The sequence below is a fragment of the Homo sapiens genome, chromosome 14, assembly GCF_000001405.40.
Source record: "Homo sapiens chromosome 14, GRCh38.p14 Primary Assembly".
In the NCBI taxonomy this organism is placed as follows: domain Eukaryota; kingdom Metazoa; phylum Chordata; class Mammalia; order Primates; family Hominidae; genus Homo; species Homo sapiens.
The window spans coordinates 72,455,663-72,477,188 of NC_000014.9; the positions used below are offsets into that span (position 1 = coordinate 72,455,663).

Consider the following 21,526-nt stretch of genomic DNA (forward strand, 5'->3'; position numbering starts at 1 on the left):
TCAAGTTCTTGATTCACAGGGAAAAAACTATAAATGCTAACCCTTTGTAAAGGATAGAACCCAAAGCAACTCACTATGTGTTGTCCCTGATGCAGCCTGTACTTCTGAGTGTCCGCTTGGAAAGCCTGGACTGAATCAGCATCTACCTGTTTAGTTACATTTATCTAAAGTCAGTATTTCTTGTGATTATAATGCTAAACTAAGGAACGTGTTTCCTCATGGCCACCTTTTCTCTTCCAAGAGCACTGGTTTCTTTGCCTCCTAAAATAATCGTTGTATTTCTGACATATATTTTATTATTACTATTATGAGAACCCTAAATTGGCGAGCAGTATGTGAGAATGAGCTTCAGGAATCCTCCAGCCCTGGCGTGAGAAGCTTCTGTGAAGGGTCCTGAATGATGAGAGTTATTTCTATGAAAATCTGTTATACTCTGATGCCCTTGGGAAGACATCATGGTATAGGGGCCTGTTTGGGCTTCTGAGAAGTGGCTGAGGAGAAGCTAAGAACCATTTGTCAGCTGGGAATAGTCTAAGGGGGGAGATGAGGCAAACCGAGGCCTTGGGAAACAGTCAGATCCAGCATCTGCCCCTCTCTCCCTTCTTTTTCCCATCAGTCGATTTCCTGTGGTTATTTTTTGGTTTTTGAGGCAAGGTCTCACTCTGTCACCCAGGCTAGAGTGCAGTGGCACGAGCATAGCTCACTGCAGCCTTGACCTCCCTGGCCCAAGCCATCTTCCACCTCAGTCTCCCGAGTAGCTGGGACTATAGGCTCCTAGCACCACATCCAGCTAATTTTTTGTTTTATTTTTTGTAGAGATGGGGATCTCACTGTGTTATCCAGGCTGGTCTTGAACTCCTGACCTCAAACAATTCTTCTGCTTTGGCCTCCCACAGTGCTTGGATTACAGGTGTGAGACACTGCACCTGGCCCCATTGGCCAACGTCTAAGCAAAAACATTTTTGCTCAGAGAATGAAGTTAGAGTCTTAGCTCCAAGACTGGTGGCATGAAAGTCACCTTCCTACAGGATTTTGTTCTTTCTTCTCTGGGGAAGGAGCAACTGCTGATGATGAAACTTCTGTTCTAGCTGGACTCATGGTTCTTGAAGCATATGGACTTTAAAAAGCAAACCGGCCAGACATGGTAGCTCATGCCTGTAATCGCAGCTCTTTGGGAGGCTCAGCTGGGAGGACTGCTTGAGCCCAGGAGTTCAAGACCAGCCTGAGCAAGATGGCAAAACCCTACCTCTACCAAAAAAAATAAAAAAAAAATTAGACAGACGTGGTGGCATGTGCCTGTGGTTCCAGCTACTTGGGAGGCTGGGGCAGAAGTATCACTTGAGCCCAGGAGTTCAAGTCTGCAATGAGCTGTGATCATGCCACTGCACTCCAGCCTGGGTGACAAGAGTCAGACCTGTCTCTAAAAAAAAAAAAAAAAAAAAAAAAATAGCAAATTGGTCATCACTAAGCAAGTAAAATAAAACTCTATTCATTCCAATTCCACCAGTTACATGTATGTTTCTTTCAAAGGAGAATAGGTGGTTCTTGATACGCAAAACATTGCATTGTATTCAACTTCTTGAAAAGTTTGCAAGTAAAGCCAAAACAAACTACTTTAAAAAGTCAGAGCTCGTGAAATTAATAATTGCTAGAGGCTCCCTGAGCACATTAACAATTTCCATGTCCAAAAATTAGTTTTAACCTGTAACAGTACTTTTGGATTTGTGAAAGATTGTGTGTGGTAGAAGCATTGAGGTTTGTTATTTTTTCTTAGCTCTGCTCAGGATAAATCTAAATTCTTAACTTTTTTTTTTTTAATTGAGACAGGGTCTCGCTGTGTTGCTCAGGCTTGTCTCAAACTCCTGAGCTCAAGCAATCCGCCTGCCTCTGGATTACAGGCGTGAGCCACCATGCCCGACCTATATTCTCAACTTTCTATGTGCATCTATTTATGGCTGGTGCCAAAGGAACGAAGGAACAGATTGACTGTGGCAAAAATATAAGTATTTCTATCAGGTTAGCCTCTCTCTGTCACTGCCCACTTCAGTGTCCTTCCTCTAATTTTCAAAGGAAGTGAGGTTTTCCTCTCTGTCCATAAGAGAAGGGTGACACCCTTCTCATTCCTGATGGGACTGTCATATTGGGGAACGCACTGGGAGTCCTACGTCTCTATGGGCAGCGAGGCTGCATTCTTACTGCTGGGGATGATGAAACTGGTATGAATCAGAGCTGCTAGCACTTACGGAGTATTTGACCTGTACCAGACAATCACTTCATGTGAAATATCTCACTTAGTTAAATACAGGTTCTTCTATGCCAGAACTTATGCCCTTGACCCTGAAGCCAGACTTTCTTCTGAAGGTCAGGGTGAGGAGGGGTTAAGCCATGTCAGACTCTCAGAGGTGGGATTCAGACAAGTCCCAGACACATAGTTGCCCTTTCCAGCCATTGGCATCTCCCCTCCTCACCCCCACACTGAGCAAGGGCAATTGTATCATCAACACAGACATCTGGGGGTGATGACAGTTGACTTCTGGTCTCCCAGCTTAATTTTCAGCCAAATAACCTGCTTTCTAATTCCTTCTCTCTCTATGCACTGTTCTTACAGTTGAAGCAATACACTTGGGGAGCCTTATCGCTGCCCAGGGCTACATCTTTCCAATCTCAGACCATGTTCTCACCATGAAGGATGATGGCACCTTTTATCGTTTCCAGGTAAGCCTGCTGGCTCCTCCTCCTGAAGAACCTTTTCTTCACAACATCATCTGATCTTAGGTTAGAACTACAAAGAAAACCTAGGGATATCTGAGGGAGTAGCCCTCACTCCTCATCAGCACTGGGAAAGCCAAGAGAACTTTTCTCTGGGCCACTGGGTGACCCACTTAGAGAATAGTAAAAGGCTGTCATTGAGAGCCTACCATGCCCTGGGCACTGCCTTAGTCCCTTGGGCTGCTACAACAAAATACCTAAACTGGGTATCTTATAAACAAACAAACAAAAAATTTACTTCTCATGGTTGTGGAGGCTGGCAAGTCCAAGACCAAGGTGCCAGCAGATTCGGTGTCTGGTGAGGGCCTGCTCTCTGGCTCATAGATGGCACCTTCTAGCTATATCCCCACATGGCAGACAGGACCTGGGGCTTATATCAGACCTCTTTTATAAAGGCACTAATCTCACCTGTGAGGGCTTCAAAGGCCCCACCTCCCAATACCATCACCTTGGGGATTAGGATTTCAACATGTGAATTTGAGGAGGATGCAGACATTCAGACCATGGTAGACACTTTGTACAGATTTCCTCATTTATTCTGAAGAGCACACTTTAGGGGGTAAATATTACCCATTTTACAGAGGAGAAAACTGAATTGCTCAAAGAATTAAAGTGTCATTTAGTAAATCCTGGAGCAGCCTTCATCTGAACCTAAGTGAGCCTGATAGCACAGACCTTGATCTTTCTACTGTCTCATGTTGCCTTCTCGGAGTGAAGTTTCTATTTGCGACCTAATCACCCTCCCCACCCATTTCACACTCCTTCTCCCAGATCCTTCCGTAGAGGGAATGAGGGCAGAGGATATGGGCTTGAATCAAGGTCTAACCAAAGGGTGTGGGAGAAGAGTTCTTCAGACTAGGTTAAAGGGAGGAAAGGAACATGGGCTTAGGTGCCCAGTAAGTTATGCCAGCCTGACTTTTGTACTTAGACCTCTATTGTCTCAGGATAAGAATATATTGCCCTGTGAACAAAACTTAACATTTTTGCATTTGTTTTGCTTACTTACATTTTGCTTCTCAATGCCTAGGTTAAAATGTTGACTCACCTTAGCTGAATTAGAGAAGAGGAGAGAATTGTGGGGTAGCATCAGCAAGAAGGAGATGGGGGAGAGCCTGCCATCAGGGAGGCTCCTCCCTGGGTGTGGGAGGGAAGCGCAGGCATGGCGCGCCCCTGAGCACTAACACCCATGCTCCTTTGCAGGCTCCGTACTTCTGGCCTTCGAACTGCTGGGAACCTGAAAACACTGACTATGGTGAGAACTGAAGCCACTGGGAACTCTCAACTTCAACACTGTGTGTCACTTCTGGGGGTGCAGAAGACAAATGCTTGGTGTGGGCCATGGTGGTACATGGGGAGGAGGGTCCTTTCTGCTTAGTCCTTTCTCATATTGTTGCTATATAACAAATCTCCTGTTCCACATAACAGAGGAAGGCCCAGCTTACTGAAAGATGTAGTCCTTGGAGGGGAAGCAGGAGAGGGAAGAAAAATCTTATCAAGGGTGGTCAGTATGTTCATCTTGGGGCCATGGAGAACCAGGATCCCACAGCAACACTATCAGATGGTGACTTTTAATTGTTCTTTCCAGGGATAGGGCTTCAGGGAGGGCTGGATCAAGGGGCTACCTCCTCCTGGCCCTTTCTGTTCTCATAGACTTGTCAAAACTTACTAAGAACCTTTTGGTGTTCTTGACAGTTGCAATTTAGAAAAGAGACAGAGACCAGGGAGGAGTATACAGAAGTCACTCTGGACTAGGAAAATAGAGTGGGTGAAGTTGAGAGTTCTGTCTCTCTAGACAGGGACCTACAAGACTTCTGCCAGATATTCTCAGTGGAGATTATTTAATATTCCTATATGCCAATTCTCTGAAGAAGTTTTATTATCGCTATGCTTAAGAGAAAGAACCTGAGGCCCAGAGGGGCCACACCCTCACACTACCACATTGTCTGAATGCTCCCTTGATTATAAGCCTCTTGAGGGCAGAGGCTGGTCCAGCTTATGCATTCTCATATCTCCAGGGCATAGCCTATGTCTGAGGCAGAATTAGTGCTCAGTAAATATCCACTGACAGTTCTGGTTCTTTATTGAAGGTGACCAACAGACACTCACTAGAGGGAGCAGAACTTGAACTCAGATCTGAGTGGCTCCAAAACCCATACTTCTTTCACGGTCCCATGTGTGACATGCCTGAAGGTTGTAGCTGCAGCACTGCCCCTTTGCATGCATCCTTGCTGCTGACTCAGCTGCTGTGGCAGTCTCATCTGTGGCTCTCCTTGGGACTGGGACACTCAATGAGACCTGCAGCTTCTTTGCAGAATTGTTTAAGACAAGAAGGCAGATGCAGCTGTGGTGAGTGGGAGGGAGATGTGCAGCTGGGTGGTGATCAGGGGAGCCTGTCTGGGAGACCCATGGGATAAGATACAACCTTGGAGTCACACGTTTGAGCAAGAGGAAACCAACAACAGGGAGCCAAGCTGAGGATGGAATACAAGCGAGTTGTACCTACTAAGGCTGGAGTTGTTCCATGGTCAAGTGTGGAGGACGTCAGTCATGCAGAAGGGCAGGCTCTGGGGCTGTCTGCTTGGCTATCCACAGGCACCACTGTGGGCCCTCTGACACTGTGCTGCACCCTAACCAATGTGATAAGTGGATCCAGGAAGACTTCCGACTGCAAGTGAGAGCTGCATTTGACCGCTCATAAAACTAGTGCTTCTGGGGCTGAAAAGACTGCTCATGAAAGCCCAACTCAGAATTTGAATAATTATAGCTCAGTTCCATGCAGCAACGTGTGCCCTTGTGAATGTGAAAACCAGTATTTTTCCAGGCAGTGGAGAGGGTGGGAGGATGGTAAGACCAGATACCTGGGCCCAAGTAAGATTAAAATATTTACTTCCGTAAAGCTTAGGGCATCTTATGCTGCATACTAAAGGGCATCATCTCCCTGTTCTACAGGTGTTCTTCATTTTATAATTTTAATTGTGCATCATGAACAGGGAGAGAAATAATAGTTTGTTTCAGGCTCTCATTAAACAAAAATTATTTTAAATTCCTGTGCCTCAATTTATGGCAAATCAGAGGGAGAAATCAAGGTTCAGGATGCACAAGTGTTCACCAGGGACCAGGCATGGTGGTGCATACCTGTAATCCCAGTGACTCGGGAGGCTGAGATGGGAGGATCACTTGAGCCCAGGAGTTCAAAGCTGCAGTGAGCTATGATTGTGCCACTGCCCTCCAGCCTGGGTGATAGAGGAAGACCCTGTCTCTAAAACAAAGAAAAACCAGTACTCCCCAGGGTTTCCAAAGCAGTTTAGTTAGAAAATCAGGATGTATTTATGAAGAGAGAATCCAGCACAATGAGCCCCCAGGATCAACCCGTTCCACTAGCTGGGTGATCTTGGCAAATTACTTAACCTCTCTGTGCCTCAGAGACCTCATATTAAAATTAGAGTAGTAATGGCACTTGTCTCCTAGTGTTTTGTTAGGATTAAATGAAATGCATGTAAGGTTCTCTGAGTTAATACGGAGTGGTGGTTGGTATCACTACTGGGGTGGGGTCGGTATTATTGCCACTGGGATGTTGGTTGATATTATTATGACTGAGGTGACCGTCTCACCAGGAAGCATGTGAAACTGAAGCTAAGAATTCAATATAGTATGATTTGGACTGATGAAGTACCAGAAACTTTCATTCAATTGACAAACGTTTACTGGTCCCTACTCTGTCAAATTCTATGTCAGAGATTTGAATAAGTCACAGCCTTTCCCCGCAAGCATTCCAGGCTGGGAGAGGCAGCATGATGCAGGGAAGAAAGGCATGGTGAGGATCTGGCTTGAGTATTCAAAGGTTTTATGTGATGAATGACTGAGAAGGCTGAATAGCTTGGGAGGGGCAGGTTTATAAAAAGGCCTTGGCAGTCAAGTAGAGACATTTAGAATGGATTCAGCAGTTTGGGGAAGCTATTGTGGGTCCCCAACAATGAACACACTTTCCCAAGTTTTTTCCCTACTTGGGAAAAAATTGGTTCATCTATAAGATGGGGGTAATAACAGAACCCACCTAGTAGGGTTATTATGAGGATTAAGTGGACTGTGGAAGATTAAGTAAGGGCTGTGACTTAGTCAAATAGTTCCTGATATTCAGTGGGCTCAATGGAAGCAGTAGCTGCTACGATGGTGATTTTTCCAGCACCTAAAACGGTACTTGGCCCATAGGAGACACTCAGTACATTTTTGAATGAGTGACTGAATGAATAAATGGATCGGTGAATGTCATAGAGGAAACTCTGCACTGGTCCTCGATTCTAATTCCATCTCCATCACTAACTAGCCCTTGGGTCCATCACTTCATTTCTCTGGGCCTTTAGTTTCCCCATCTGTAAATGAGGGGCCTGTACTTGATGGTTGCCAAGGTTACCTCCAGTCTAAAATTCTTTGGTTCTAAAAAGTCATCAGAAAGTATGAGGAAAATAGAGAAATAAGTGAGTTATAGGTTCCCTAGTTTAGGAGATTGAGGTACATAATGATGTTGCTAGTAAAGGCAGAAAGTAAAGAAAGGGGTCAGTTTCTTCAGTACATTGAAACTCGATAAGCTCAATATTTTTTAAGAAATTTAATTGCACATATAATACATGAATGTGTTCCCTTTATACAATTTTTAAATATGTCCCAGTTTTGTGTGGTGACACATGGTGAACTTGAGATGGCAGTGGATTTCTCTGAGTGAGATGTGAGATATAGGTAAGGGTGGAATGCCAGATGTAAGGACAAGGAAATAGAAATTTTTCGGTAAGAAATTAAATATCCAAGAGAAACCAATATCTGAGCTTAAGACAGTTCTTCCAGATGCCCTCTTGTAGGGCTGGCTATTGTCACCAGTAGTCACTAGAGTCGGTTGGAAGTTAGAGCAAGCCCTAGTGAGGGCACTCTGGGATGCAGACAAGCCCCAGGGAGTTCTGTGCCAAGAACAGCCACATCCCACCTTCCTCATTGTGGTGAAAAGATTCCTTGTGTGACTTTAGGCACAGGGACATTAGCTAGTAGCATGTGACCCTGTGACTCATGGCCATCAGGAGTGGCCCCAGCTCTGCATTCCATGCATGATAACTCACTTCACAACCCCGCTGTCCCATTTTGACCCCGCTTACCCATTTGGACATTTCTTGGGATGACTCTGCCTGCATAAAACCCACAGTCAAATCCAGGTTAGCCTTTTCTGAGTTTTACATTTGGCCAGTGCAAAATCCTGTCCAGGGCAGCATTGTCAAAGCAGCTGCCACCTCCACTGACCTGCACTGCTCAAAGGTAATCATGACCTGGCCCAGTCGAGCTGGTGACATGTCAAGCTTCCTGCCTGAGGTTGTCCCTAATTCTGCCAGGGGTCCAAGAGACTGAAGGAGGTACTTTGTGATAGATCGGACACCCCTTTATCAGACACAGTGAAGCACTATAGCTGCTTGGTTCATTGGAAAAGTTGGTAAGTAGAAAATCATTTTTAAAACGACATATGCACACCTTAAGCACCTCATGTAAAGGTAAGATATACAAAGGAACACTCATTTGACAGCCTTGTGAAGTAGGACCAAAGTGTTCTCTTTGATTATGAGCTGAATAATTTTAGTTTCTTAAATCAACCGCACTCAAAATAAACTACCCTGTTTTGGTATCTTTAAAGTGCATCAAGAATGTAAAGACATTTTTGTAGTCTTTTGTATATTGGCCCCTCCTAGATTTTTATTATTTTTCTTACTTTTTCCTGTTATCTCACCTGTATCAAATTCACCAGCAATTGCCTTAGCTAACTCTCCTTCATTAAATTGTTCCAAACCATTCAACTGAGTTTTCATAGAAGCAACACTCTCTCTCTTTTCACATTAATTTCATTGAGACGTGTGATATTTAGTGAACTTGTGTGATTAAAATAACAGATGTGCCTGATATAAGCAGATTTGGGAACAACCACAACTGACTCCTATGAGCACACAATTCGCCGGGTGGAAGCAGAAGTGTGGGCATACCAGAGGGTAGGCTGCTAGCTTCCAGGCTCCAAAATGTCATAGGTATCAGTAAATTTTTCAGAACAAATGAAGGAAGTTGGTTGATCCAGCAAAGAGTTGACTAGAGATCTCTTAGTAAAGAGATCTTGTTGTCCAACAACAAAATGATCACAGGTTCTCTCTGGCCCTCCCTCTTGATCATTCTGTTGTTCATTTATTTATGCCATTCATCTACTGTTTTCCCTGGATTGTTCCACTTGGCTCTGGAGAAGGAGGAAGACATTGAAGAAGGAAAGGTAGGGAGAAGAAGTGATGATGAAGGCCATGTTTGAGGAAGAAACAGGGAAACCAGGGGCCAAGAACCTTTCCTTAGCCTGAGTTGAGAGACCTAAATTGTCTTCCCTTTCCATAGCCTTTTTACTGCACCTGACAAGACAGGCTATGGTGCTAGCAACAGGGATGAAAGCTGAGCAGGACATAGCCTCTGCCCTTAAAGAGACTTCAGCCTAGAGCAGGGGACAGTCTAGTAAATACAGGATTTCAGTGCAATGGAATTTAGTTCCATGGTCAAGGACATGTAGATGCTATCTGAAACACCAACTTGGGTCTTCAAAGATTAGTAAGAGGTTGCCAGATAGAGGGAAGGAGAGAAGAGAGAAAGACTTTCCTCAAAAAGGACACATATGCAAAAGAATGAAGCTGAAAAGAGTTTGGTGGCCTCACAGTGCCTGCATGAGGGAGAAGAAGTTGATGAGATAAGCAGTGAGCAGATCATAAAGAACCATATTTGCCATCCTAACGAGCCCAACCTTACTTCTGAGGCCATTGAGGACTCCAGGCAGAGCTTTTAGGCACTGGAGTAATGTGGTCATGTTTGTGAAATATCACTCTGAGTGTAGGATGTTCAGGGTGAAGCAGAGTGAGGAGGAAGAAGGGGAGTTGTCAGGATTGGAATATGGAGGAGTCCTCATTTGATCATGACTATGAAAGGATTTATAGAGGTCAGGGGTCATGAGGTCCACTTAGAAAACATATTTTTCCCAGGACAGTGCTCATGAGGTCCACTTAGAAAACATATTTTTCCCAGGACAGTGCTGGGCACATAGCAAGGGTGGGTGGGCGGGCTGTCTGGATGGATGGATGGATGGATGGATGGATGGATGGATGGATGGATGGATGGTTGGGTGGATGGGTGGATGGGTGGATGGATGGATGGATGGATGGATGGATGGATGGATGGGTGAATGGGTGAATGGATGGACAGATGGATGGATGGGCTTATAATTCCATTGTGCTGCTGGTTTTGTACATGTTGTCATTTCCTTTCTTCCCTCAGCCATCTATCTCTGTAAGAGGACAATGCAAAATAAAGCAAGGCTGGAACTGGCAGATTATGAAGCAGTAAGTATGATTATTTTCCAGGATACATATAAGAAGAGAGTAAAATCATATCTGCAGCTCCGTCTAAGTTTATTTTTTTTTTCTTTTGTCCCCCTTTTGTCCCTTTCAGACAGTGGAAGGGAAGTATCTTCTATTTCTCCTCCCTTGTTCTCAGCTCCTCTGACCATCACAATAAGATGGTGTTTTTACATAAATAACTCTTAAAACTCAACAATAAAAAAATAAGCAGCTCAACTTAAAAATAGGCTAATGACTTAACAGATATTTTACCAAAGAGGACACAAGGATGATAAATAAACCCATGAAAAGATGTCCAATATTATTAGCCATTTAGGAAATGCAGATTAAATCCGTGGTGAGATACTGTTACATACCTATTAGAATGGCCAAAATAAAAAATACTGATGATACCAAGTGATGGTGAGGAAGTAGAACAACTGGAACTCTCCGCTTTGCTAGTGGTAATGCAAAATGGTACAGCCACTCTAGAAAATAGCTTGGCAGTTTCTTATAAAGTTAAACATACACTTACCATATAACCAAGCAATCCCACTTGTATATACATACCCTAGAGAAATCAGAACTCATGTTCACACAAACACCTATAAACTAATGTTCATACAAGCTTAATCTGTGATAACCAAAAGCTGAAAACAACCCAAATGCACTTTAACAGTTGAATGGTTAAACTAACTGTGGTACATCCATACAATAGAATACTACTATGCAGTAAAAAGGAATGAACTGTTGATACACACAACCACTTGAATGAGTACCAAGAACATTATGTTGGGTGAAAGAAACCAATCTCAGGCCAGCCATTCCATTTATAGGACATTCTTGAAAAGATAAAACTATCATGATGAAAAGCAGATCAATGATTGCTAGTGGTTATGGATGGGGTAGGGAATTGTTGGAAGGTGATGGAACTGTTCTGTATCCTGATCGTGGTGGTGGTTGTATGAATCTATACATGTGTTAAAATTTACAGACTTGTACAAAAGGAAAAAAGTCAAATTTACTACATAATAACATTTCAAATTAAAATTTTAAATTGCACCTTTATACCCACTCTCCTGTGCTTAGTAGCAGAGGCAGAATCTAAGGGTAAAATTCAATTCAGAAAATAAGACAAGATGTGTGTCACATGAGGTATCTACTTCCCAGCTTTCTTACCTTCCTTCTCTATCTTTCTTCATAAGATGAGACTTCTTGCAAAAATTAGAGGCCCCACCACCAAACTTGGGTCCATTCCCATTTGACAGAGCCCAGAAACCAAAGCACTTGAAAACTCATAGATCATTTAATTTTTTTTTTAACTTTTGGTTGCAAAATTTTTCCCCCAAACTGAACTTTACATGGGTCACAGAGAATGGGAGAAACTGGCTAAACTTTCTTATACCTTCTACTTCCCTCTCCCTATATGTCTTCCAAAGGATGTGCTGCTGAGCCATGAATGACTGAAGGGCCAGCAGCTATGGAAGGAGGGGCAACATTAAGGGGAGCAGAGAATCCTTCCCTGGATAGTCCAGCATTAACAGCATCTTCAGACCCACCCACCGCCAAAGCCCTTCCTGCTTTTACTGCCTCAGTCTTTCAAAACAAGTGTGAGGCCCCACTCTGCCAGGCCTTACCTCTCCTAGGTTCATGTTCCCAAGCCTACCAAGCCTACCAAGCCTACCAAGCCAGCTGGGCCATCGCTCCCCTCTCTACAGCCCAAGTGTGAATGCGCATGCCATTGGGGAGCAGGACGTGTGCATGGTCCTTCACCTCTTTGATCCCACTGGCATTGTGGACCTGTGAATGGGGTGCAGGGGGCCAGAAGAGGAAGAAGCAGTGCAGCAGTTTGTCCAGAGCCCTCAGGACCTGGCTAGAGTTTGCATTATCAGATGATCATATGTTGGAATATTATGATCTCCCCAGATAAACCTTGGCCTGGTTGTTCTGTGGCTCTGGACATCCTGGGAGCCCAGTCATGCCCCTGTCTGCCCCAATGCCCAGCAATCACAGCACCCCTCCTTCAAAAGACTGCTGTTGTACTCTTTGTGCGCCCAGTGCAAGTAGCTTTGACATGATGACATTACCTCCTTAACACAACCTTGAGGAAAGGCCCAGACAGTAGAAGCCTGGGGCCCCTCCCTCCTGTGTGTCTCTTCCCCATATTTTCAATGTTTTGGAAAAAGGTCCCATACAGAAATCAGACAGCATCAACTCCTGCTGTATTTGATTCAATTTCTCTTCTCTTGTCCCTTAATGTTCTGCTCTGGTATTTGTAAAGAATATGGCATTGAGGCCAGGTATGGTGGCTCATGCCTGTAATCCCCAAGGTGGGCAGATCACGAGGTCAGGAGATCGAGACCATCCTGGCTAACATGCTGAAACCCGTCTCTACTAAAAATACAAAAAATTAGCCAGGCCTAGTGGCACACGCCTGTAGATCCAGCTACTCAGGAGGCTGAGGCAGGAGAATCCCTTGAACCTGGGAGGCGGAGGTTGTGAGCCAAGATCGTGCCACTGCACTCCAGCCTGGGCAACAGAGCGAGACTCCGTCTCAAAAAAAAAAAAAAGAATATGGCATTGAGATGTGCTCTCAGGTTGAAGTTCTGCACAAAAATGATTCAAAACCAAAAAAGCATTTTGCTTCCAAAATGCAATAATTTTTTTATGAATTTTCTGATTACATATTCTTTTTACAAAAACAAAAATTCAAACAGCAAAGAAAGGAGAGAATATAACCTGTGACTCCCCCTCACCTAAGTTTTTTCTATGCATACATTTTTTTCTTTACAAAACTATATCAGAATCATAACATAAACATTCTTGTGGCAGCTGCTTCTCTTTCCCCAGTCATTATACTGTAGGTATCTCGGGGTCTTTACCATGTCAGTAACTATAATCTACGTTATTGTGTTTAATGGCTGCCTAGAATTCTATGCTATGACTGTGTCACAGTTGATTGACATTTAGGCATTACCAGTTTTGCTTCCTATGAGCAGTGGAAGAGTCACAAAGACAGTTTTTAGAAGTACTTTCACACCAAGCCTGGGTGATAACTGTGAGCTCATGTGTGGTACTCTCCAACTGAAGCTCCTTTTATATTAATAATCCATTAATGAGGGTAATCAATTCGTGTTGGCATGAGCTCTATGAAAATACATAGCATAATATGGGCTCCGGCCTTGCATTCATCAGAATTAGGAGGATCATTAGGGCGCCTGTCAAACTCCCCTCCTCGCCGCCCATCCTCATGTTCCATTAGGTAACTCTACAGACTTAGAGAAAATACTTTTCTTTTTCTCTAACGGCAGCCCTCAATGACTTTTCTTTCTGTTTTGGGCTTTTTCTTTCATGAACATCACAAACGTAGACACTCCGTTTGGGGCACTTTTTTTTTTTTTTTTGAAACAGTTTCATTCTTGTTGCCCAGGCTGCAGTGCAGTGGCAGGATCTCGGCTCACTGCAACCTCCCCACCTCCCGGGTTCAAGCGACTCTCCTCCCTCAGTCTCCCAAATAGTTGGGATTACAGGCACCTGCCACCATGCCCAGCTAATTTCTGTAATTTTAGTAGAGATGGGGTTTCACCCTGTTGACCAGGCTGGTCTGGAACTCCTGACCTCAGGTGATCCACCTGCCTTGGCCTTCCAAAATGCTGCGATTACAGGTGTGAGTCACCACACTCAGCCTCGGCCACTTTGAATCCTGACATTAGAAAAAGCATGAAAGCCAGGTCCCTTTGGTTTTCCTTTCCTGTGTCCTTCCCAGCTCCCCACTGGAAGAGGAGTCCTGAGAAATCCAGCCTTTGGTTTTGCTCCTGGAGATACCAGCAGGTGGCAAAGACTCGTTAATTCCCCAATAACCACAGACAATTTTCCCGATTTTCAGCAACCTTTGAAACAAGTGCTGTGTGAGTTGCATTCTTGTAAAACACCTTCATGAAGAGAGGAATCAGGTGAACCATAGAGACTTCAGACTTAATGGGTGTGTAAATGAATATTAATAGTTCAGCTCTGTACGGAGGGTCTGGCGCAAAGTCAAATGGGATACATGTCCAGGGGATTTAAAGCAGGTCTTGCTATTTTGTTGGAAGTAACCAAAATTGATGGATGCCTTATAATAAGCATAGGTGTCGATGTGCTAATTTACGATGATTAATGCCGCCTTGTTGATTTTCATTTCTCATTAGGAAAACTTAGCAAGACTCCAGAGGGCCTTTGCGAGGAAGTGGGAATTCATCTTTATGCAAGCAGAAGCACAAGTAAAGTAGGTGAACTTGATAGAGACCTTTTCAGAGAGGAAAAGACTCTGGAATTTGGAAATGGTGTGAAGGTGGGATTGTCAAAGTGAAGTTTCCAGATGGCGTTAGTATTTCTAATAGGGCCTGAGAGCAACTGAGTAGAAATTAAAGTCAGGATGGATAAGTTTTGTCTTCATAATCAATGCTTCTCTAAAGCAATTTCAGAAATGTGTGTTTCAGCAGACAAGGGAGATCCTCCCAAAGGTAGAACTCTGGTTATAAGAAGGTGTACCTATTTCCCCAAGAGATTTCCAGTTATTTTCTGTGTTCAAAGGCTGAAATCCCATTTTACCCGTTGGACTGGAGATTTTGTCTTCATGGGAAAACAGGTTGGAGTTTTAGGAAGAACAACAAGTAGCCCCTGTCTTCTTTTCCCTGACAGGGGAGGAGTTTAGAACCAACAGAAAAAGAAGGCACAGAAGTCAGACAGTTGGAGTCCAAAATATCAGATTATTACATTAATTAAAAGCAAGAGTAAGGCTGGGCATGGTGGCTCATGCCTGTAATCCCAGCACTTTGTGAGACCGAGGTGGGGGTGGATCACCTGAGGTCAGGAGTTCGAGACCAACCTGACTAACATGGTGAAACCCCGTCTCTACTAAAAATACAAAATTAGCTGGGCATAGTGGTACATGCCTGTAATCCCAGCTACTCAGGAGGCTGAGGCAGGAGAATTGCTTGAACCCGGGAAGTGGAGGTTGCAGTGAGCTGAGATCGTGACATTGCACTCCAGCCTGGGCAACAAGAGCAAAACTCCCTCTCAAAAAAAAAAAAAAAAAACAAGATTATAGGGCGTGACACTGGATATGTGGCCCCAGGTGAAAATTAAATCTGCCCTTCCTGTACAGAGGTGTGTATCTATAGGCCTCCTCTCCCCAGCATCTCCACCCCACCCCACCAGGGCATAGGTGACCCCTGTAAGTTTTCTGCATGCAGAGAGCAGCTATCCTGAGCACAGGCTGACCCAGATGGGGGCCCAGAGAGGGAGAGTCTGAACTTCTTCAATTTCTTCTTTCAAGTCTACCAATTAGTTAAGTCATTTTTCCTCCACAAAGGACAAGAGATGAAAGGAAGAAAAAAGTTGGAAGGGTTTTTCCCAGATTTTTTTCTCCTGGATACATAGTGGACATTTCTTCCTCTCTAAGGAAACATGAGGAATGGGTACTCTATGTTCCCCACCCCACAAACATCGTTGTCAACCAGATCCATTTAATTCTGGGAAACAGAATGATTGGATCTGGATCTCCCCTGTCCCTCCCAGGGATGATGTCTAGGTTAGCCAGGATGGTTAGTTAACAGGAGAAGTGGGACAGGAGCAGGAAAGGGATGCTAAGCTGGGAGAATGGGACTATGTTTCCTCTGGGTACCACCTGCATGTGAGCAGCCGCTGAGTCTTCAGAGCAACATTCCTGGGCGATGTTGCAGCCCGTGGCCTGGAGCCGGGTCTCAGGCTGTGTGGGTGTAGACTCATCACAGCTATGGTCACAGTTGGAAGTGACCTGAGGCCATCTGGTCCAGTGGCCTGTACACTGCCATTGCTGTGAACCTCCCCCCACAGTCTCTGCCTTTCTCCTGTCCATGATGCCAGCCACCTCCTGACCACCCAGCAGCCCCCCGGGGATAGGCGGGTACCAGGCACTGGGTGCCCCCGAAGAGGTGCAGGTGGGAGAGTAGGTAGGATGGAGGCTGGGATTCAACTGGACTAAGGCAGAATTATGCCTGTGTACTCAGAAGCCACTGGAAAGCAAAGAGGAACGCTAATTTGTTCTTCCAGAATCAAACAGCATCACAAGTTATAAACAGAGGGGAAATTGTTACTTCATAAATACATGGTATTTCTCGATTAACTTTTTTGATTAACTCTGTGATTACATTATAATTGTGGGCCACCTAAGTACACAGTAATTATCACAAAAATCGCAGGGTGATTATGGGTTTATTTCAGTCCAGTAAAGTAAAGCGTTCCCGAGAGAGCCGAGACCTAGGAGTTACACGGCAATTAATCTGAGTTGCTTTTTACTTGAAATAAAATGAAGTAATACATGCTTTTTTAAGAAAAAAAAAAAAAGAAAGAAAAAGAAAAAACCTCTTATCTATGCTGCAGATCAGAACAATAAGAATCTGTCTTTGTCACCTGCAATTTCCCTCTTGCAATTTGTGCCTCCCCCAGCTGAGGCCAGTGATATTTGCCTCCTGGATCTTGTCTCATTCTAGGGCCATTATTCTGCCTTTAGAAAGCCAGATGGTGTAAGTGACTTATAAAACACATAATTGCAGCATTTTAAAGACATTTATTTCTACTGATTCTAAATCTAAAGCAAACTTTCAAATTTGAACATGGAACACTGGCAAGATGGTGGTTACATTCCATCTTATAATTTGTATATGCAGTATCCTTTTTGATAAGGGGGCATATCAATGGATAATTCAGTTTTTAATAATCCAAATCTTAATACTTCAGATGAACAGCTGCATTCTTATTCTTCCCTTAGGCCACCATGTTCATTACACATGTATGGCAATCTGTAATCTAGCCTAAAACAAGTTCTCTTACCATGTGTGGAATTCCTGAGGTTTTCGGGGGGGGAATTATACACCCCTATTTCACAGCTCTGCAGAGAGCAGGCACCATGCAGGTACCAATGGCCTTGTGTTCACTTAGCCCCTAGCAACAGGAGCAAACGCTGGAGCAAGTGTCAGAAGGGAAAACAGAATACAGAGCTTCTTATTTCCTTCCTCTCTTTACTCTTTCAGGATTGACCGGAAAAAAGACAAGACAGAAAGGAAAATTTTGGATAGTCAAGAACGAGCCTTTTGGGATGTCCACAGGCCTGTGGTGAGAAAGCGCTACTCAATTCTCTAGATTTTTTTTTCTTAATTGTTCATTTTTATCTCTATAAAGAAAAGACCGTCTTTAGCCACCAGGTGTCTCATTCTTAAGAAAATCGCTCAGCTTTGTGGAACTGGTTTCGCCATTCATTTATATAATCTCAGTAAATTTTCTGGAATATATGTAAGTTCCACCTTTTAAAAATTATTCATTCGGCCGGGCATGGCGGCTCACGCCTGTAATCCCAGCGCTTTGGGAGGCCGAGGTGGGTGGATCACGAGGTCAGTCGATCAAGACCATCCTGGCTAACACGGTGAAACCCCGTCGCTACTAAAAATACAAAAAAATTAGCCGGGCGTGGTGGCAGGCACCTGTAGTCCCAGCGACTCGGGAGGCTGAGGCAGGAGAATGGTGTGAACCCGGGAGGCGGAGCTTGCAGTGAGCCGAGAGCGCACCACTGCACTCCAGCCTCGGCAACAGAGCGAGACTCCATCTCTGGGGAAAAAAAAAATTATTCATTCCTGAAAATATGGAATTGCAAATGGAGAAGCTATGGGAATTCCACCAAAAGACCTTTGTGTCCCGAAGGTTTACATTCCCCAAATTAACAATTTCCATTTCCACTGCTATTCAACTCTGAATCTTCAACTATTCTCTGTCGAATACGGTTAATTCTTGTTATCCATGGCAGTTATGTTCTATAAAGTCTTTGCAAACACTGAATTAGCGCACATTGAAGCATCACTCCCGTGGGAACTACCAAGCTAGGTCCCCGTGAGCCTGTGGCCACAACATTTTTATCAGCTGATCGATACATAACCTTTTAAATGTGTTTCTGTATAAAGACAGCTTATGTAATATATATCATTGATTCATTAACATTAAACTCATGGCCAACAGCACTGTTGCTCATGCCTGCATGTTTATTTCCTCCTAAGGCACATCAGAGAATGGTGAACAGCACTTCAGCACTGTCCTTGGGGCCATTTTAAACAGCAAAATCACCAACAAAAAGTACAGAAATGCAGAAAAGTTGGCACTAAATTAGCCCTAAATAGAAGGGTCTGAAACAAAAAGGCAGGACGTCACCTTGTTCAATTTCAGTGGGAAACACACATATCAGGCTACTCAAGGTACAACTACTGAGTAAGGAGTTATAAATGAAATTTAGCAAGCAGGCAAATTCACAAATGCAAAATTTGTAAATAATGAGGTTTGACTGTATTTCTGATTTCACGTTATTAAAACAAATCTTGCATTTTCCTCATGAAATGGAACTAAAAAATAAATTATTGGTCTTCTTAAAATTTGATTAAAAGCAAAAAATAAATAAATAGCTACTCATCCTGATATCGTGGAGTCTTTTTCAAACGGTTAAGTATGTAAAAAAAAATTTTAAGGACTGTGTCTGAGGCAATCTTGCCACTTAAATAGCTAATTTGCTCTTAGAAACTGTACACTATACCCTCTACATATCATCCTTAGATTATGAGGTAAGCTTTTCTAGATCGTATGGGAACTCCACAGAGGAATGCATATTATGGCAAAATGGAAAAAAAAATCATGCATTGTCTGTAATGGAAAAAGATAAAGATTGGTCCTGATGGTGTGACATGGGCTAAATTGGAAGTGTAATTTTCACGTAGTAATTTATATGATGTGTTTTTTTTTTCTCAGCCAGGCTGTGTGAACACAACAGAAATGGATATCCGAAAATGTCGACGTTTGAAGAATCCACAAAAGGTTAAAAAGGTTCGCTAGTTTAGCTGAGTTAAAAATTCCTGATGTGAATAGCCCTTCCAGTTCTAGTACTATTCAAATAGTAATTTGCTACTTGTAATTCTACCACCTTTTGTCATTTGAAACCATAACCATTTCACAAATATTGATTGAGCAGCTGATGCATGCTTGGCGCTGTGCTCGTGCTAGGATACAGTGGCAGGTCCTCATGGAGCCCACAGCCTGGCAGGAGTAAAACAAGCCAACAGGCAACAGGGCCATGAATGCTGTGTTAGGAGAGGTACAGGACAGTTGAGGAGCCCAGGAGGGGCAGCTAAGCCAGACCTGGAGTGGGTGGGGGTGGGGGGCTTCCCAAGGGCTTCCTGAAAGAGGGTCAGGTGTTCTGAAGGGTAAGTTGCAGTTGTCCTGGGGAGGTGGCAGGGAGGGGAGGAAACAAAAGGAGCAAGAAGTGGCAAAGCTCACAGGTGAAAGCAAGCTTTATACTTAGAAGCAAATAAAAGTCTTTTTTATGGTTTTTTTTTTTTTTTTTTTTTTTGGATAGAGCTGGATCACCCAAACTCAAACCACCATCTTGTCCAACTGTGAATGACCCAGTGGTCACTTGTGTTTCACTTTACTCAAAGGAGTAGTGGTCACAGCATACCCGAGGGTGCCATGCTCAGACTCCCCCACGATTCATATGTCCCACCCTCTCCACAGCACCAGGGACAATATTGCAGGACAGCATGACCAGACTCCGTAATATTAATTTCCAAAGAGTGGGCCAGGTACGGTGGCTCACACTTGTAATCCCAACACTTGGGAGGCCGAGGTGGGCGGATCACCTGAGGTCGGGAGTTCAAGACCAGCTTGACCAACATGGAGAAACCCCGTCTCTACTAAAAATACACAATTAGCTGGGCACAGTGGTGCATACCTGTAATCCCAGCTTCTTGGGAGGCTGAGGCAGGAGAATCGCTTGAACCCAGGAGGCAGAGGTTGCAGTGAGCAGAGATCGCGCCATTGTACTCCAGCCTGGGCAACAAGAGCGAGACTCCATCTCAAAAAAAAATTCCAAAGAGTGGAGATGTGTCCCCAAACATTCCTATTTCTTGTGATGACCAATTAGCTCTCTCTCATGTATGCATTAAAAAAAAATACACGCACACACACACACACACACACACTAGACATGGCGTATGTATATAAACTTCTTTAATCTACTTACATATTTTGTTCGTCACTGACTTAACAATATCCACTGTATTATATTTTAAAATGTTAGTCCTAAAATGTCCTCATTTCATCTTCAAGAGCCCCATAATTCTAACATTACAGAATTTCATGGAGTCACATCCACCTTATCTGAGCCCTTCTGCATTTTGATGATTTTGACTACACATTGCATGCCCTTCAGTGTTTCATTTCTTTCCCATTGCAAAGATTGTGTTTAGTCTTTCCGTAATACGAGGAACAGCTTTAAATGTAGCTATAGCTACGGACATGTGGAAAAACTTAGGCCAGAAAACTGTTTAACTTGAAAGGGAAACCCTGAAATGCTGCCATCCCAGTTTTGTACCAGATGGGAATCTGCTGACCAACGGAAATGTAGAGGGGATCTTTTGTGCATACTCTTTGGCAGTGGCTCTTGAACTTTCTTTATTCAGAATCATTTGGGGCATTTGATAAAAGTGCAGATTTCCAAACCCACCCACAAAGATTCTGATGCAGTAAGTCCAGGGGGCGAGGGGATACTCAGCAACGTGTCTTTTCCAAGCACACCCAGGTGATTCTTTGCAGGTGGTCTATGGACCATATTTGGAGAAACACTGAGATACAAGGAGGCTATTTTCAGCCCAATAAAAGATAGGATTTGGGTTATAGTGGTACCCCAAAGATGAGATGACATGCCTTAAGAGGCAGCATTCTCATCATTGAAGAAATAAAAGCAGAGACCAATCTCTTATTGTCATGAGGGGATTCACGAAATTGGATGAGTCATTGGACTAGCTGACCCCTAAGCCACCCTCCAATTCTGTGGGTGGATGATCCTCTGTGCTTGCTTCTTCTCCTAGTCCGTGTATGGCGTGACTGAAGAGTCCCAGGCACAGAGCCCGGTGCATGTACTCAGCCAACCAATCAGGAAAACAACAAAAGAGGACATCCGGAAACAGGTGAATGAATTGACAGCTTGCACTCTCAGGAGGAGACGTGGCCAGTTTAAAAACCCTTTCAAATGTTCAACTCTGAAGATTGAGCAAGCTTTGAGTTCCTGGAAACCACAGTGGAACCCAGCTGTGGGTGATTGAACCTTTTAAGTGCTGTGTGTGAACAAGCCACGGAAGCTTGAGAGAAAGAATTCTCTACCCAGTTCCTCCAGCAGTTACTAGAAAAGGGCGTAAATGAGTCATCCCATGCCTTGGGGTAACTGCTGTAATGGGGTTTCCCACAGTCCGCTGTGGGAGCTGGAGGAAGGAGGGGGCTCATGTCACACAGTCCTTATAATTGGAATGCACCAGCTC

General features: G+C 43.9%; 1 protein-coding gene across 56 annotated transcripts in view, besides 2 other annotated features; it reads left to right on the forward strand.

Annotated features, from left to right (window-relative positions):
* The window catches only part of RGS6 (regulator of G protein signaling 6), a 762,695-nt gene that overhangs the window by 588,328 nt on the left and 152,841 nt on the right, over nt 1-21,526 (forward strand). For 51 of the 56 annotated variants that reach the window (NR_135235.2, XM_024449761.2, NM_001370270.1 and 48 more), the window contains 7 exons: nt 2,609-2,715; nt 3,970-4,021; nt 10,096-10,160; nt 14,345-14,421; nt 17,210-17,291; nt 18,963-19,037; nt 21,080-21,178. Coding sequence is in view for 55 of the 56 variants with exons in the window: in XM_024449761.2 (XP_024305529.1) it covers nt 2,609-2,715; nt 3,970-4,021; nt 10,096-10,160; nt 14,345-14,421; nt 17,210-17,291; nt 18,963-19,037; nt 21,080-21,178 (557 nt within the window). In the remaining variant the exon portion in view is untranslated. Of the gene's footprint in view, nt 1-2,608; nt 2,716-3,969; nt 4,022-4,194; nt 4,331-9,031; nt 9,056-10,095; nt 10,161-14,344; nt 14,422-17,209; nt 17,292-18,294; nt 18,419-18,962; nt 19,038-21,079; nt 21,179-21,526 lie in introns of those variants that run through there. The other 5 variants (XM_047431985.1, XM_011537397.2, NM_001370279.1 and 2 more) reach the window with 5 other exon arrangements.
* Nucleotides 870-1,072: a silencer, noted in NCBI's record as "fragment chr14:72923240-72923442 (GRCh37/hg19 assembly coordinates)". NCBI's record gives its function as "represses an EF-1alpha promoter that drives an FKBP-Casp9 reporter gene in an ReSE screen in both phorbol 12-myristate 13-acetate-treated (for megakaryocytic differentiation) and untreated K562 erythroleukemia cells {active_cell/tissue: K562 | K562(+PMA)}" and the evidence as "EXISTENCE:reporter gene assay evidence [ECO:0000049][PMID:32094911]".
* Nucleotides 21,136-21,345: an enhancer, noted in NCBI's record as "active region_8681". NCBI's record gives its function as "activates an Ori minimal core promoter by ATAC-STARR-seq in GM12878 lymphoblastoid cells {active_cell/tissue: GM12878}" and the evidence as "EXISTENCE:reporter gene assay evidence [ECO:0000049][PMID:35858748]".